Raw genomic sequence first — 17,775 nt, 5'->3', positions numbered from 1 at the left:
TCATGCCATTGCACTCCAGCCTGGGCAACAAGGGCAAAAACTCCATCTCAGAAAAAAAAAGCTGCTTATATAATCAAGAGATTAAAAATGGACAATCTGTACAAGTGATATAGACATCCCTTCTAGATTGTTTATAAAACAATTAAGCACTTTGTTTATGGAAAATGAGAGATCTGAAAAGTACAAGAAAACTGCTCTGTCCCCAGCTCACAGCAGCTGTGAAGAGAACCTCCCTTCTCAGTAACAGGCACAATTTGTCTTCAGATTTCTGCTGCCTATATATTTGACACTCATTATTTACACCTCTACAATCTAATGGACATCACTCCTTCCATAATTAACCAGTTTGATAGTTACTGAAGAACAAATTACAATTGAACTGCTAAGACTACCTGCAAAAACAGAAATAAAAACAAAAAAAACCCTATTTCATGTAAGTAATCACTTGATACACTGAAAACTGCTGTTATAACTTGAGACTGTTATTGTTAGAAAGTTAGCATCAGGGCTGAGTGTGCACATTAATATACTTCAACTTTGTCCCCAACCACTGCAACCATTAGCAAGGTCATTTACTCTCTCCGGAGCCTCATTTCTTTCTATACAAACCTGAAATGTAAAAGTCTAACCTTTCAATGCCCTGTGCTTAAATGTCAAATGGGGAATAGTACCAGGAAAGTATATCTTTTTATCATTATTAAAATCCAAGGTGCCCTTGTGGAAGCAGCAAAATGGAGTAGATTGAAACTTTTGGGCCAACTGAAATTTCCTATAACACCACAAATCCATTGAAACAAATAAGTAGACCAGTGGAAATGAAATCGTAACACTTGTTGCTGATTCATTTAAGAGAAAGATATGAGCTAGCCTTACAATTGGGTTTCATGTAATACAACTGTCAAATGCCCTGTAGTCCCAGTTACTTGGGAGGCTGAGGGAGAAGGATCGCTTGACCCCAGAGTTCAAATCGTTTGGGCAACATAGAAAACTTTGTCTCTTAAAAACAAATTGTCAAAAGTTTTCTTTATGAAAAATATTAAATCATCAGGCTTTTTAAATGATATGATTTTTAGATTAAGACAAGTTATGTAACTTCTGGACAACCATGAAATAAGATATTATTACTGATAAACTTCATAGCAATGTTAAAAGACCACATTTTGAAAAATACAGGCATATCTTGGAGATATTGCAGGTTTGCTTCCAGACAACTGTAATAAAATGTTTAACACAATAAAGGGAGTCACACAATTATTTTTATTTTCCAGTACCTATAAAAGTTATGTTTAATCTATATTATAGTCTATTAAGTTTGCAATAGCATTATATCTGACAATGTACATACTTTAATTTAAAAATATTTTATTGCTAAAAGATGTTAACGATAATCTAAGTCTTCAGTGAGTCTTTGTTGCTGGAAGACAGTCTTGCCTCACTGTTGATGGCTGCTGAATGATCGGTGTGGTGGTTGCTGAAGGTTAGTGTGGCTCTAGAGATTTCTTTAAATGAGACAACAAGGAAGGCTGCAACATCAACTGACTCTTCCTTTCCGAAAGATTTATCTGTAGCATGTGTTGCTGTTGGATAGCCTTTTACCCACAGTGGAACATTCTTCAAAATTGAAGTCAATCCTCTCAAACTCTGCTGCTGTTTTATCAACTAAGTTTATGTAATATTCTAAGTCCTTTGTTGTCATTTCAACAATGGTCACAGGATCTTCACCAGGAGTAGTTTCCATCTCAAGAAACCACTTTTGTGGCTCTTATATTAGAAGCAACTCCTCATTTGTTCACGTTTTATCATGAGATTGCAGCAATTCAGTCACATATGCAGGTTCCACTTCTAAGTCTAGTTATCTTGCTATTTCCACCACATCTGCAGTTACTTCGTCCACTGAAGTCTTGAACCCCTCAAGATCATCCATCAGGGTTGAGGTCAATGTCTTCTGAACTCCTGTTAATGTTGATATTTTGACCTTCTCCCATGAATCACAAATGTCCTTAATGGCATCTAGAATGATGAATCCTTTCCAGAAGGTTTTCAAGTTACTTTGTACAGAACAACCACTATGGCAGCCACAGCCTTACAAAATGTATTCCTTAAATAATACTTGAAAGTCAAAATTACTCCTTGACCCATGGAGTAATGGATCCTGCAGAATGGATGTTGTTTAGCAGACATAAAAACATTAATCTCTTTGTACATCTCCATCAGAACTCTTGGGTGACCAGACACATTATCAACGAGCAGTAATATTTGGAACTAAATTTTTTTTTTTTTTGAGACAGTCTCACTCTGTTACCCAGGCTGAAGCACAGTGGTGCAACCTCAGCTCACTGCAACCTCTGCCTCTGGATTCAAGCAATTCTCCTGCCTCAGCCTCCCAAGTAGCTGGGATTACAGGCACACACCACCACATCCAGCTAATTTTTGTATTTTTAGTAGAGATAGGGTTTCTCCATGTTGGTCAGGCTGGTCTCAAACTCCTGACCTCAACTGATCCACCTGCCTTGGCCTCCCAAAGTGTTGGGATTACAAGTGTGAGCCACCACACCTGACAGAATTCTTTTTTCCTAATATTTAGTAGGTCTCAACAGTGGGCTTAAAATATTCAGTAATCCATGCTGTAAACAGATGTGCTGTCATCCAGGCTTTGATCTTCCATTTCTAGAGCACAGGCAGAGTGGATTTAGCATAATTCTTATGGGCCCTAGGATTTTCTGAATGGTAAATGAGCATTGGCTTCAACTTAAAGTTACCAGCTGCATGAACCCCTAACAAGAGAGACGAGCTGTCCTTTGATGCTTTTAAGCCAGGGATTAACTTCTCTTCTCCATGAAAGTCCTAGATGGTTTCTTCTTCCAAAAGAAGGCTGTTTGGAATACACTGAAAATCTCGTGGTGTAGCAACTTCATCAATTAACTTAGCTAGATCTGGATAAATTGCTACAGCTTCTACACCAGCACTTGCTGCTTCACCTTGCACTTTTATGATAAGATGACTTCTTAAACCTCATGAACCAACCTCTGCTAGCTTCAAACTTTCCTGCAGCTTCCTCACTTCTCTCAGCCTTCATACAATGGCAGTTATGGCCTTGCTCTGGATTAGGTTTTGGCTTAAGGGAATTTGTGGTTGGTTTGATCCAGACCCCTAAAACTTTCTCCATATCAGTAATAATGCTGTTTCACTTTTTTTGGTTTCATTCTGTCACACAGGCTAGAGTGCAGTGGCACAATCATAGCTCACTGCAGTCTCGAACTCCCTGGCTAAAGGGATCCTCTCACTTCAGCCTCCCAAGTAGATCGGACTACAGGCATGCACAACCACACCCAGCTAAATTTTTAATTTTTTGTAGAGACAGGGGTCTCACTTTGTGGCCCAAGCTGGTCTCGGACTCCTGGCTTCAGGGGATCCTCCCGCTTTGGCTCCCCGAAGTGCTGGGATTCTAGGTGTCAGCCACTGCACCTGGCCACTTTATTATCGTTCATGTGTTCCCTGGAGAAGTACTTTTCATTTCCTTCAAGAACTTTTCTTTTGCATTCACAACTTGACTGTTTGGCAGAAGCAGTCTAGCTTTTGGCCTATCTCAGCTGTTGACATTAGCCTTCCTCACTAAGCTTAATCATTTCTAGCTTTTGATTTAAAGTGAGAGGCATGTGACTTTTTCACTTAAACACTTAAAGGTGTTTGTAAGGTTATCAATTGGTCTAATTTCAATACTGTTGTGTCTGAGAGAATAGTGAGGTCTGAGGAGAGGGAGAGAGATGGGGAACCATCAGTTAGTGGAGTAATCAGAACACACACACACACATCAACTAAGCTCACTGTCTTAGATGGATGCAGTCTGTGGCACCCCAAAACAATTACAATAGAAACATAAAAGTCACTAATCACCAAAACACATATAATGAAAAGTTTGAAATATTTTAAGTTTCTGTGTAAGACACAGAAAAATGAAATGAGCACATGCTGTTGAAAAAAAATGGCACTGATAGTCTTGCTCAACACAGGCCTGCCACAAACCTTCAGTTTGTAAAAAATGCAATATCCGCAAGACACAATAAAACAAACTGCAATAAAATGAGGTATGCCTGTACTTTGATAATCATTAATTCATTATATTTTAGAAACAAACATCTGTTTTACAACAAGAAATAGGTGGCAAAGGTGGAGGGTGCTGGACGATTGGCAGGCAGCACTTGGGACTGGATTCCTGGGATGAGACAGAATGAGAGCAGTAGCAGAATAAAGGAGACAGGATAGAGACAGAACTACCTTTTATATTTTCTCAGCTGTGCCACTAATGCTTACCTCTCTATGCTTTCTTTATAATTTTGTATAAAATATGTATATTTCTAAACAGTACATTATTTAAGATTTTTAAAAATTTCAGCAAATCATGTTACAGGCCAGGTGCAGTGGCTCACGCCTGTAATCCCAACACTTTGGGAGACCGAGGTGGGTGGATCACTTGAGGCTGCCAGGAGTTCAAGACCAGCCTGGCCAACATGGTGAAACCCTGTCTCTACTAAAAATTAAAAAATTAGCTGGGCGTGGTGGCACACACTACTCAGGAGGCTGAGGCAAGAGAATCACTTGAACCCGGGAGGTGTAGGTTGCAGTGAGCCAAGATTGCACCACTGCACTCCAGCCTGAGCAACAGAGCAAGATTCCATCTTAAAAAATAATAATAATACTATTACAGTCTGGGGGTTTTTTTTGTTTCAACTTGGGTTTGGGGAGTTTGTTTTTTGCTTTGTTCTGTGTTTGATGATCATTGTATATAATATCTGGTAGCATAAAACCCCCCATCTTGTTCTTCAAAACTAGGTTAGCTACTCTGTGTCCTTTGCCTCTCTATACACACACCCCTCTGGAATTTTTATATTGTTTTTAATTTATGAATTGATAAAAATTGAAATCTTGATGAAACTAATCTTTCCTACCCATGAATATAGTGCATCCTTCTGTCATTTAGGTAACCTTCAATGCCTATAATGGGTATCTGATATTTTACAGCTGCTCAACATATTCTGAAAATCCCTTCCCCATTTTCAGACTTCTTCATACTATGACTCTCTTCCCAGGCAGAATCCAAAACCTGTATTTCCCAGAAGCCCCTGCAACTTGGACATACATATATAACCAACTCCCACCGAGCAGGTACACCCTGGCTGAAGACAGAAGACCCTACCAAAATGATTGTAGGGGTATTTTTACTACAGAATGTGAAACGACCTTCCTGGTGGTCCAGTCTCTTCAATGGGGGGTGGCAGTCCAGTAGCAGGCACCAGCAGCTGCTGAGTTTCCACTGGAACCACTTGGTTCTGTGGTTGGTCATTTTTCCTGGCTTCTGCCTATGTGGCATCCCAGCTTAGCTCCTCTTAGACATTTTGTAAGCTAATTAATAGTATGGAGCAAATCTAAGGTAGATTCTTCAGTCTACTGCTGATCACTGACACGGAATGAGGAACCAGAAGTGGGTTACTGAGTGTGACAGAACCTTAAAACACTGGCACTGTTTAGTGGAAGTGACTGAGAATACGGTGGTGAAGAATCAGATACGGCAAGGTGAAAAGTAGATGGGCGAAACGAGGTGGCCACAGCCCTTCCGAACTCAAGTTGGCTCCATATGTTCTCATTCTAGCACGGGGCTGAAGGCGCAGCCACTTTCTGGAGCTTGCTGTTCTCTCGCCGAAGGCAGAAACATAACCATCAGCTGAGCATGAGAACTGAGAGGGATGCTTTGGAAGTTACAGAAGAGAGAAAGTATAAAGTAGTGGCCTAGGAAAGCAGGGGAGTTAAGTGGACTCCAAAAATTGTAGTATGACCATCAGGAAACGTTAAGGGCCTCCATGAAGTTACTGGTCATGAATTTAAAGTGACAGTTCAGCCTGGTAATATGCTTTCTCCTGATCATTTTTGGTGCAGGAACAGAGAAGGCAAAGAACTGCATTTAGTCAGAGATGAGGTTTTGCCAAGCGAGCATGACAAAGCAAGAGAAGGGCAAGGGAGTTAATGGAGACTGTAAGGCATTATTTTAAGAATTAACCATAGAGTTTATGCTGGGTAAAGGAGGAGGGGTGGGCATTTTCTGTTTGAAGCATATCTCTCAAAGTATGGTCCATGCTAAAGATCTGGCCATCACCACAGATAGCCAAAATCAGAATTTGTGCAAGAGAGAAAACTCTTCTTTTTACAAGCACACTATGTAATTCAGACACATGGTAAAGTTTAAAAACCAAGAATGTAAAGGTTTTGCTATTAATTGCTATAGAGAAACATCTAGATAGCAACATCAGCAAAAAAAAAAAAAAAATGTATGGACCCTTCCATCAAAGCTTAGGACTTACTGTTTACATTAATGCCAATAAATGCATAATTCAAGTTCTTTTTCCAGTAACTACTTCACACAGTCCTCTGAATAGTTGTAAAGGATCCTCATCAAGGCCACTTCCAAGAGCAACCCCAAATTCCACTTCACTAACCTACCTAGCCACTGACCCACTACACAGCTCCCTTTATTTCTTAAAAAAAAAAATTTTGGAAGCTTATTCAGATTCCCCTCGAGTTGGCTTTACACCATTATTTTTATTTCTTTAGTAATTAAATTCATATTTATAATTCATAAATATGAAATAAAATATAGAAGCCAGTGCTCACAAAGAAAAAAAAACAGAATGCTCATCAAGAAAAATCTGCACAACAGATTCAACAAAGATGAATGCCTTTGTGTATATTTACTTACGAAATAAAAGTTAAAAGAAACATCTAGCTATCAAGAGCAAAACTAAAGAAAAAAAAACTTCACGTTTAAAGACATGATTACTCTCACTGCCATCAACATACTTTTTTTTTTTACTGTTTATTTCACATTATCTTTTTCACAGATGTATGAGATTCTCAAAGATCTGTGCCAAGGGCAACATAACTTCAACTGTATTAATACCCCACCTAGCCATGGGCCCACTAAACAATCTCCATTAATCTCTACAGTCCATTGTTGGAAGCTTATTCCAATTCTCTACCAGTAGCCACAGGTCTTGTATGTTTCTCCCAGGCTGCTTATCTCTAATCATAATGGCCTAATACAGGGATATCCTCTTTTCCAAACTTTCCTAACACCAAAGTGTTCTACCACCAGCAACCCCACGATGCAGATACAGCCACTGTTGTTCAAGCCTGAAAGGGACCAATGCAAAGGTTAAGTATTTCCATTTTCTACCCAGAAGAGATTATGTAAACACGGTCTTTAAATGTATATAGATTATAATGGAGTTTATGTTGAAACAGCTGTTAACACATGTAAGGTGATGAAAAAAATACAAATGAAACTCAAATTAGGTTGGAGGCTGGGCACAGTGGCTCACTCCTGTAATCCCAGCACTTTGGGGGGCCAAGGCAGGCGGATCACTTGAGGTCAGGTGTTTGAGACCAGCCTGGCCAAGATGGCGAAACCCCATCTCTTCTAAAAATACAGAAATTAGCTGGGCGTGGTGAGGCGTGCCTGTAATCCCAGCTATTCGAGAGTCTGAAGGAGGAGAATCGCTTGAACCCAGGAGGGGGAGGTTGCAGTGAGCCAAGATCACACCACCGCACTCTAGCCTGGGTGACAGAGCAAGACCCTTTCTCAAAAAAATATATAAAATTAGGCTGGAGATTTGCTAGGCATAAGAGCCGTAAGACTGCCAAGATAAAGCTCATGAGGAGTGAGAAGAAGGGGTGAGAATAACTGGGGAAGGTTTCACAGTGGGAGTAAGACCCTGGAAGACACGCACTATTTGGGCAGATGAAGAAGGTATTCCAGATGTAGGCAGCAGCATGAAAAAATTCCCAGAGGTAGGAATGAGCACAGCATGTGGAAAGGTCAGTGAAGGCACAGCTACGGCTGAAGCAGAACAGGATCCCTGGAGAAGAACAGGAGGTATGGCTGGAGAGGAGCACTGGGGACTGACCAGGGATGGCCCAAGGACCTTGACTGGCTTCTTCTCCACAGGGTGCAATTTCTGATGCTGAACAAAACTTCCATACCATTTGAAGGCTTTCCCACACACCTTACATTCATAAGGCTTCTCCCCAGTGTGAACTCTCTGATGCTGAATGGAGGCTATTTTCTGGGTGAAGGCTTTGCCACACTCCTTACATTGATAAGGTTTCTCCCCAGTATGAATTCTCTGATGGACAATAAAAAGTGACCTACAACCGAAAGCTTTCCAACATTCCTTACATTTATAGAGTTTCTCTCCCGTGTGTAATCTCTGATGCTGCAGGTATGCCGCACTCCTACGGAAAGCCTTTCCACACTCTTTACATTCATAGGGTTTCTCTCCAGTGTGGATCCTCTGATGTTGAGTCAAGGCTGTGTTGGAACTCAAACCTTTGCCACACTCCTTACATTCATAGGGCCCTTCTCCAATGTGGTTTTTCTCATGTACAATACAATCATAGCTGGACTTGAAAGCTTTGCCACACTCCTTACACTTAAAGGGCTTTTCCCCAGTATGACTCATCTGATGCCGAATAAGCTTTGAGTTATATCGGAAGATTTTCCCACATTCTTTACATTCATAGAACTTCATTCCACCTCGAAGTATCAGATTTGGATTTAGATTGAAAGTCTGCTTCAGTGCCTTCCTTTTAAAATCAAAGTGCTGAGAAACGTTCCTGAGAAGTCCTCCTACTGGCATTCTGTGCAACTCTGTTTCTTCAGAGGCTTCCTGCTTTATAACTAGCCCTTCATTTTTGATCCAGGACTCACCACCTGACCAAAGAAACCACAAGTGTTCCTAGTTACAAAACTGGAAGAAAAGTAGGATCCAGTGTTCCTAATTTTCTCTTGTAGAATGTAATTTTTAAAGATACCTGTGAAATGGTTATATACAAGCATCTATAAAGGAGGATGAGAGAGACAAAGAAAAATAATGACAGGCCAGGTGTGGTGGCTCATGCCTGTAATGTTGGCACTTTGGGAGGCTGAGGCAGGCGGATGGCTTGAGCTCAGGAGTTCGAGACCAGACTGGGCAACATGGTGAAACCCCATCTCCACAAAAAAATACAAAAATTAGCCGGGCATGGTGGCGCACCCCTGTGGTCCTAGCTACTAGGGAGGCTGAGGTGGGAGGATCACTTAAGCCCGGGAGGCAGAGGTTGCAGTGAGTGGAGATCATGCCACTGCACTTCAGCCTGGGCAGCGGAGCTAGACCCTGTCTTAAAAAAATAGAAAAATAATGACATAGAATTGGAGAAGTAAAGACACAGAAATGGAACAGGAAAGATAGCCAGGAAGTGCTCCCCACGAGGAAGGCTGGAAAATTGAACTAAGGTAGGTGATGGGAAGAAGGAGAATCAAGAATGAGAAGGAAAGAAGGTAGGAGGGACAAAAAAGAAAAAAGAAGGAGAGAATAAGAAAGAACAGTGAGAAATGTGAAAAATGTTTAAAGAGAGACAGAAACCCAGAAGAGGAGAAAGGAATGAGAGACTGGGAAGAATAGAGAAGCAGCTCCAGCACTACAAGAGGTCTTGCAGACTGAGAAACACAAACCAGGAAAAAACTAGATCCCAAAGCCCTACCTGTAACCCAGGCAATCACCCCAAATTCTAAACAATGTCCTAATTATCCTATATTTAAATATCCCACACAATATTCAGGGATACAAGATGATTAGTTTCAGAAAGTCAGCTGGAACAGAAGTTGGATCAGAGAGCTGTAAGCCACTGTGGTACCTGTGCTAAAGGAACCACTATATACAAAAGCATAAATGTGTGAGAAGGCTTGAAAATTTTCTTCTGAAGAAATGGAAACGCAAGTAAACAAAACCTTCCAGGACTGGTAAGCCATCTCAGGGAAATTTTAGGTGGTGTGTGTGTGCACATGTGCGTGTGTGCATGTGTTTGTGTGTATGCATGTGTGTGCGTAGGGGGCTATGATGGGAGAATATTCCTAGCCCTTTCCTCTACAGTCCCATCTATGGTAAATATAATGTAGATCTAAAGATTATGGCAAATGAAACTCTTAAGTGATTTAGATACTAAAAAGGCAAATTAAAGCCATTCTTTTCAGGGCTGAAGGCCTAAAGTAAAATTTATAGCTATAGCACAAATAAATCAGTTTGGCCCCAAAAAATCATATTTTCCTTAAATTTGGCTGAAACCCCACTTCTTTGCAATGAAAAATGGCATACAATTAAAACTTTTCCACCAGTAAGTAAGAAAGAAGTGGTTTAGGAGCTACTGGGTCACAGCTTTTCTGCCTTGGAGGATAGCCACATGAATGTGCAGACAGCATGAGGCCATGTACTCCCAGAGGTGGTCTTTCAAAGCTCAGGGTCAGAACTCAGTGTGAGGTCAGAGAGTACAGTGAGTATCGACTTATAAATAACTGGGAGATTTGTACCCTGCAGCATAAGAAACACTTCTTACCTAGTAAACCAGGAAGGCAAAACAAGAAACTTCACCACTGGATTCTCATACTCACCTTGACTGATGCCTCTCAGAATCTCGGTGTCCCAGGGATCTGGGCCCCATGGTGCTTCCCCTCTCTCCAGGTGGGAGATCAGAGCAGGTTTGGGGAATGGAAACGCTACTTCATGAAGAAAAGAGAAAGACAAATTGAGGGGAGACGTCCAGAGCTATTCCTGGGATCTTTCTCAGCCCACCCTCCATCAGGCTACTTGGGAGAGAAATTGAACACCAGCAGACCAAGTGAGAGTTCTGACAAGGAGGTCCAAACTGTGCTCCACGATAAAGCCAAGGAGGTATGATTCTTCTCAGAAAGAAACTGCATTCTGGCCCTGACTCAGAAGAAGGCAAACTCCCTCAGGAAAAATGTACCTACTGCTCCCCTGGGAGAACCTTCCACAAAGGGAGGGCCAACATCCCCAGAAAACTGGATGGACAAAGGAACAAAGGGCTCACTTAGGGTGCCAGAAAGAATGCTTTCCCTCAGGGCCCAGGACCACACTGTTCCTGGAGTATAAGGAAGTCTAATTTCAAAACCAAAGAGAAGCCAGGCACAGTGGCACACGCCTATAGTCCCAGCTACTTGGGAGGCTGAAATAGGAGAATTGCTTGAGCCCAGGAGTTGGAGGCTGCAGTGAGCCATGGCTATGCCACTGCCCTCCAGCCTAGGTGACAGAGCGAGACTCTGTCTCAAAACAAACAAACAAACAAAACAAACAAACAAACAAAAAACAAAGAGAACCAAGGATTTCCCTACCCAGTATTTCTGGAGGCTGCTGATTGCAAAACTCTCCTCTGAAGTCATCAAACCCAAGGGCTACTAGAATCCCCAAAACATCTGAGGAAGATAGCAAACTGTTACAAAGGGCCACAGAGGGAGGCCTTACCCAGAGAAGCCACATTTGCATAATTCTCCAGCATCACCTCCCCGTACAGGGCCCTCTGCGCAGGGTCGAGGCTGGCCCATTGATTCTGGGTGAAGTAAACAGCCACATCCTCAAAGGTCACTGACTCCTGAAACAACAGGTTCCTGCTCAATCTCTGAGTGAGAAGTAGAAGGAAGAAGGGAGCAGCTTGAGCTTCAGGGAAGGGATAAACCTGCCTGCATCCACAACTCTGAGCCCCATGTAAGGTCTGCTCAACAAGAACACCCACCACCACAGCCAGGGGCGAGCCCTCAGCCAGTAGTTCCACTTTCAAATGGGGAGCCCCAACACTCTCCCATCTACCCAGCTCTGGAGCCCGTAACTGCTGCTGATTCTTACAGCTTGGCACCCAGGCTGAGATTACAGGCATGTGTGAAAAACTAGCAAACAATGTTTTGGAGAAAACAACTGAAAACAAAATGAGGGGGAATTAAACTGTATTTTAAAAGGATAACACATTAAGAAAATGAGAAGACATGCTAAAGTCTAGGAGAAAATATTTGCTGAAGACATATCTGATAAAGCACTATTATCCAAAATGTACAAAGAACTCTTTATGAACAAGCCAATTAAGAAACAGGCAAAAGACCTCAACAGACACCTCAACAAAGCAAATATACAGATAGCAAATAGGCATATGAAACTATGCTCAAGATTATATGTCATTAGGGAATTGCAATAAAAACAGTGAGACACCACTACATACCTATTAGAAAGGCCAAAATCCAAAACACTGACAACACCAAATGCTGGCCAGGATGTGAAACAACAGAACTCTCATTCACTGCTGGTGCTAATGAATGCGAAATGGGACAGCCACTTTGGAAGACAGTTCGTCAATTTCTTACAAACTAAACACACTCTTACCATACAACCCAGCAGTCATGCTCCTTGGTGCTTAACTAAATTTAGGAGTTGAAAACTTATGTCCACATAAAAACCTGTACATGGACATTTACAGGGGCTTTTATTCATCATCGCCAAAACTTGGAAGCAACCGAGATGTCCTTCAGTAGGTGAATGGATAAGCTGTAGTATATATAGACAATGGAATATTATTCAGCACTAAAACAAAACGATCTATCAAGCCATGAAAAGACACAGAGGAAACGAAATGCATTACCACTAAATGAAAGAAGTCAATCTGAAAATGCTACGTACTGTGTGATTCTGGCTATATGACATTTTGGAACTGGCAAAACTATGAAGAGAATACAAAAATCAATTGATGGTTGTCAATTGGGACGGGACTAAGGGGAAAGTAAGGATGGATAAGAGGAGCATAAGGTATTTTTAGGGCAGTGAAACTATTCTGCTTATATAATACTATAATAGTGGATATGTGTCATCCATCAAGAGTGAACCCTAATGTAAACTATCAACTTTGGATGACAATGATGTGTTAGTGTAGGTTCACTCCTTGTCACAAACGTGTTACTCTGGTGTGGAATATTAATATTGAAGAAGGTTGTGTGTTTTGTGGTGGCAGGAGATAAATGGGAACTCTTGCTTTCTGCCCAATTTTGTTATCAACTAAAACTGCTCTAAAAAACTATTTTAAGTACCAGTGTTGAATCGTTTCAGGGTAAGTTATTTCTCAATCAAACCACATATGCTGTTTAGGACATATCAGAGAATAAGGAAAGAAAAAAAGCATTTCCATTCTTTTAAAGACACTGACATTTTACTGTGCTGATACCAGACTTGTATTTGAACTTCTATCAGAACTTGTATATACATGTGTAGGGGCAGGGAATATATGGGAAATCTCTGTACCTTCCATTTAATTTTGCTGTGAACCTAAAACTGCTCCAGAAAATAAAAACTACAAATAAATTAATTACATTAAAAAGTAAAATGCAGCCTGGCCAACATGGTGAAACCCCATCTCTACTAAAAATACAAAAATAAGCCCAGCATGGTGGTGTGCACCTGTAATCCCAGCTACTCAGGAGGCTGAGGTAGGAGAATTGCTTGAATCCGGGAGGTGGAGGTTGCAGTGAGCTGAGATCATGCCACTGCACTCCAGCCTGGGTGGCAGAGTGAGACTCTGTCTCAAAAAAAAAAAAAATTTAAAAATGGACAACACTTGCCAGGCACAGTGGCTCACGCCTGTAATCCCAACACTTTGGGAGGCTGAGGCAGGCGGATCACCTGAGGTCGGGAGTTCGAGATCAGCTGACCAACATGGAGAACCCCCGTCTCTACTAAAAATACAAAAATTAGCCGGACGTGGTGGCGGGCACCTGTAATTCCATCTACTCGGGAGGCTGAGGCAGGAGAATCACTTGAACAAGGGAAGTGGAGGTTGCAGTGAGCGAAGATCGCACCATTGCACTCTAGCCTGGGTGTTGCAGTGAGACTCCATCTCAAAAAAACAAACAAACAAACAAAAAACAGGTGCATGCCTGTAATCCCAGCTACTTGGGAGGCTAAGGCAGGAGAATTGCCTGAACCTGGGAGGTGGAGGTTGCGGTGAGCCGAGATAGCGCCATTGCACTCAAGCCTGGACAACAAAGGCGAAACTCCGTCTCAAAAACAAAAAAAATAAAAGGACAACACTTAATATCTTCTTAATTGACCAACACCTTTCTACCATCAATTTGCCACTAAGGGCTAGGAAAATCTTTTTAATATGTAAATCCAACCATGTCATCCCCCTGCTTAAAATTCTTCAGTGCCTTCCCAATGAACCAGTACAGAAACCACTGTCCTCACCATGACCTATAATACAGGTATCTATTTCTTCCATCTCATATTGAACCACTTTCTCTGACCCCTTCCAGTTTCTAGAGTACATCCAGCTTTCTCTGCAACTTCAGAGTCCTTGCATCTAGCATTTAGAAAATGTATATTAAAGCAACAATACTAGTCTCTCTGGGATACATACAATACAATTTGTGGGCAATCTCTCCAATAAAGAATTTCTGATTTCAAGCTAGTGCGGTGGCTCATGCCTATAATCCCAGCACTTTGGGAAGCCGAAGCGGGTGGATCACCTGAGCTCAGGAGTTCAAGACCAGCCTGGCCAACGTGGTGTAAACCCCGTCTCTACTAAAAATACAAAAATTAGCCACACGTGGCGGCGCACATCTGTAATCCCAGCTACTTAGGAGGCTGAGGTATGGGAATCACTTGAACCCAGGAGGCAGAGGCTGCAGTGAGCCGATATCATAGTGCCACTACACTCCAGCTTGGGCGACAGAGTGAGACTCCGTCTCACAAAAAATGAGTCTGATTTCAGTAGGTGACTTTCATTTCTAGAACACGATCTGGATTTCCACATTCAGAAAGAATTTCTTGGTATAGGTCCCCTTTCTTCCATTTAAATCTATACATCCAAACTCATCACTCTCTATACACAAAACTTTCATTTCCCCAGCACATATTTACATCTGCCATAGCCCTGGAGATAGATACAAAGGGGAAAACACAGCTTGGCCAAGTTAGGCCTTCCTCATCCTTTCCTGATTATCTGATAGCTAATGTGAGTAAAAAAACATAAACAAACAAACAAAAAAACTGAAAGAAGCTCAGCTCACCTGAGGCCAAGTTGTTTGGAGCATGGCGGATGTCCCCTGGCTTCATGCACTGTCTTCTGGGTTTGGACAAGCAAGATCCTCAAGAGCTAAGAGAAAAAGAGCCATGAGTGCTAAGGACCCTGTCGTCCACCACCTACAGCAACCTATGGCCCTCCCAGTTTCCACATTTCCAGCACTGGATGCACGGAGATTCTACTAGGACTCCCTCTAATTGTTCTCACGCTGATAGCCCCAAACTTCTTATGAATTGTTCTGCCTAGTCTTCAGGACAATCTTCCACCTGCCTGCTCAGTCCGAAGAGCTTTTTTTGAGCCCATTCGTACGGGTAAACTGAGGGACCCAAGAGCCCTGTCCCTATTGTGTTGGGTCTCTACAAACGTAAAGAGTCTTTACAGAATGCTTACAGGGACGATGACGTGGACCCAAAAGAAAGAACCTCAGGAGAAGAGGGACTGGGGTGGCTGAATGCGGATTAAGGGTAAAATACTCAGCGTCCCAGTGGGTGATGCTGACCGGAGACCCCACCCAACCGTGATCTTAACACTCCACCCAAGAAAACAGGCAACCCCAAACATCAGAAACGTCAGTACCGGGAGCCAGAGGCTGTCAGGGCAAGTTCTTTAGGGCAGAAAAGAGGATCAGGCCTCGGTGGCAAAGGGCTGGACACGGGCTCTAGAAGCCCGAGCAGCCACCTTGACGGCTTCGGCGAGGCCCAGATGCCCACGGTCCGGGTGAAGGAGGGGCGGGCCGCCATTGGGACCAAGTTCAGGGGTAGTGGGGGCTGACGAGCCGCCAGGGGCAGCGAGGAAGCCGGCACCGGGCGGACCTGGCACGTAGAACTCGCTGAAACCCACGCTCTGCAGAACGCCGAGGAGCTGGTCACTAACTAAAGGCCGAGCCGGAAGGGCGAGTGCACGCCCAGGGTCCCTCTAGGCCCCCGGAGGCCGCCATCTCGGTCGCCCCGTGGCCAGACCCGCCCCGCCTTTCATGGCTGGCCCCGCCCTGCGGAAGAGGCGAGGTTGCGGCGACCGGCTGGGCTGAGAGGCCGGCGGCGGGCGTGGAACTGTGGCGCTCTAAGCCCGGCTTTCTCCGGCAGCCGTCGGCATCGCCTCTGGCTGGAGTGTCACGGACTGATACAGCCTGGCTCTACCGAGACCTCGCCCTCTAGGCACAAGTGGGCCCCCAGTTCACGGGCTGCGCCTCAGCTGTTGGCCGCCTTGGCCCCGTGGCTCACCTGAAGCCTGGGCCGTGCAGGTGAGGGGAGAATGGCGCCTGCTTTGTCATCTCTAAGAGGCCCAAGCCCAGGATCTTGCTTGGGTCCTCAGCTGGGCAGTCCTCAGGGAAACCATGGTTTCCACTCGCCGTTTTAGCCCTCTCCCTTCCAAGGACCTAGATGTGCGTAGAACCTTTTAGGACAGATTCATTTAACAACCAAAACACCCGTGGCTACATACAGTTGCTAGGCATCCTGTATACACAGGACATGTCCTATATTAAATGATCTTGTCCTGTGTTGACTTTGGGAGGACACCCTAAATGTCTTATATTTAGCTTTTTCCAATAAATTACAAAAACTCGTAGTTACAGCTATTTTTCTGCTCAGTAACTGGCACTTAAATAAAATGTTAACACCAGCTGAAATATATATATCTCATACTTCCATAAATAATGATCTGGACAGACCTTTATGGTCTGTTCTGTTAGTTGGACTGCAGGAAGAAAAAACAGTGAAGAGGGGAGGCTGCTAATTAAAAGAACTTACTTTTCATATTCAGGAAAGGAAAAGACTGTTTTTTGACCAAAGTCCCAAGTCACTAACAAGTACTTGCCATTAATTTACATAATTTTAGATCAGTACACGTACTCTGAAAATCAACCAGTACACAACAGCCTCACTCCAAGCTTCTGAACATGAGCCAGTCAGTGATAAACACTTCCCGAAGCCAGCCAGTGGCAGCTCTACCCAGCTCATTGGCAAGTACCTCACTACTGTGCCCTTCCTTCTGGACAGGAGCCTTTCTCCAGTATCAAAGTGGTTGCTAAGATGGACAGACTTTGTTTTTTTTTTTTTTGCTTGTTTTTTGTTTGTTTGTTTTTTTGAGACGGAGTCTCGCTCTGTCGCCCAGGCTGGAGTGCAATGGCGCAATCTCGGCTCACTGCAAGCTCTGCCTTCTGGGTTCACGCCATTCTCCTTCCTCAGCCTCCCGAGTAGCTGGGACTACAGGCACCCCGCCACCACGCCCAGCTAATTTTTTGTATTTTTAGTAGAGACGGGTTTTCACCGTGTTAGCCAGGATGGTGTCGATCTCCTGACCTTGTGATCCGTGCACCTCGGCCTCCCAAAGTGCTGGGGATTACAGGCGTGAGCCACCGCGCCCGGCCCAGACTTTGTTTTACTTTAATCACGCTGATAACTTCTCCTGAACACAGTTCCAGATACCAGGCTCCTCACCACCAAGCATTTCCATGCTATAAAGGGGAATTGGTCTCCCACCACTAAAAGATAAAAAATGATCCTGGATATCTAGATATATTGCTTTATTACAGGGGTCCCACTTCTTGGATTTGTTATTCCTTTCTTAAGAATTAGACTGACTTATGAAGTCCTATTATGGAGAGTATCTTAGGTATCTACTGCTGCATAACAAATCACCCTAAAACCTTATGGCTGAAAACAAAACACACTTATTATCTCTTAAAGTTTCTATGAATCAGTGAACATAGTCAGTCAGTCCTAAAAAGAGAAAAAGGAAAAAAAAAAAAGGTTCTGTGGATGAGGAATTCGGGAGTGGCTTGGCTGGATGGTACTGGCTTGGGATCTCTCATGAGGGTCTAGTCAGGTGTCACCT

General features: G+C 43.1%; 1 protein-coding gene across 8 annotated transcripts, besides 5 other annotated features; it reads right to left on the bottom strand.

Annotated features, from left to right (window-relative positions):
- Positions 1–1,008: 1,008 nt before the first annotated feature.
- On the bottom strand, positions 1,009–17,685 carry ZNF621 (zinc finger protein 621). Of its 8 annotated transcripts, NM_001287245.2 has the most exons (6): positions 15,517–15,831; positions 14,927–15,012; positions 11,346–11,472; positions 10,475–10,582; positions 8,585–8,761; positions 1,009–2,505 (listed from the first exon to the last, which is right to left on the bottom strand). In NM_001287245.2, exons 2-6 carry the CDS (start codon positions 14,948–14,950, stop codon positions 2,468–2,470), a joined length of 474 nt encoding a protein of 157 aa, NP_001274174.1. In that variant the 5' UTR covers positions 14,951–15,012; positions 15,517–15,831; the 3' UTR covers positions 1,009–2,467. The 8 variants fall into 8 exon arrangements, with proteins under 8 accessions (NP_001274174.1, XP_011531912.1, NP_940886.1 ...); XM_011533610.4 differs by lacking the exons at positions 11,346–11,472; positions 15,517–15,831 and adding exons at positions 11,216–11,296; positions 16,161–17,685 and having other exon boundaries at positions 1,009–8,761; NM_198484.5 differs by having other exon boundaries at positions 1,009–8,761.
- Positions 15,049–15,861: an enhancer, noted in NCBI's record as "H3K27ac hESC enhancer chr3:40566421-40567233 (GRCh37/hg19 assembly coordinates)". NCBI's record gives its function as "activates a minimal SCP1, AML or CMV promoter by ChIP-STARR-seq in primed H9 embryonic stem cells {active_cell/tissue: H9 hESC(primed)}" and the evidence as "EXISTENCE:reporter gene assay evidence [ECO:0000049][PMID:30033119]".
- Positions 15,049–15,949: a biological region, named in NCBI's record as "H3K27ac hESC enhancer GRCh37_chr3:40566421-40567233".
- Positions 15,350–15,489: an enhancer, noted in NCBI's record as "active region_19720". NCBI's record gives its function as "activates an Ori minimal core promoter by ATAC-STARR-seq in GM12878 lymphoblastoid cells {active_cell/tissue: GM12878}" and the evidence as "EXISTENCE:reporter gene assay evidence [ECO:0000049][PMID:35858748]".
- Positions 15,790–15,949: a silencer, noted in NCBI's record as "silent region_14233". NCBI's record gives its function as "represses an Ori minimal core promoter by ATAC-STARR-seq in GM12878 lymphoblastoid cells {active_cell/tissue: GM12878}" and the evidence as "EXISTENCE:reporter gene assay evidence [ECO:0000049][PMID:35858748]".
- Positions 16,140–16,229: an enhancer, noted in NCBI's record as "active region_19719". NCBI's record gives its function as "activates an Ori minimal core promoter by ATAC-STARR-seq in GM12878 lymphoblastoid cells {active_cell/tissue: GM12878}" and the evidence as "EXISTENCE:reporter gene assay evidence [ECO:0000049][PMID:35858748]".
- Positions 17,686–17,775: the final 90 nt, after the last annotated feature.

Source organism: Homo sapiens, chromosome 3 (genome assembly GCF_000001405.40).
Source record: "Homo sapiens chromosome 3, GRCh38.p14 Primary Assembly".
NCBI lineage: Eukaryota > Metazoa > Chordata > Mammalia > Primates > Hominidae > Homo > Homo sapiens.
This window is presented reverse-complemented; position numbering and strand designations above follow the sequence as displayed.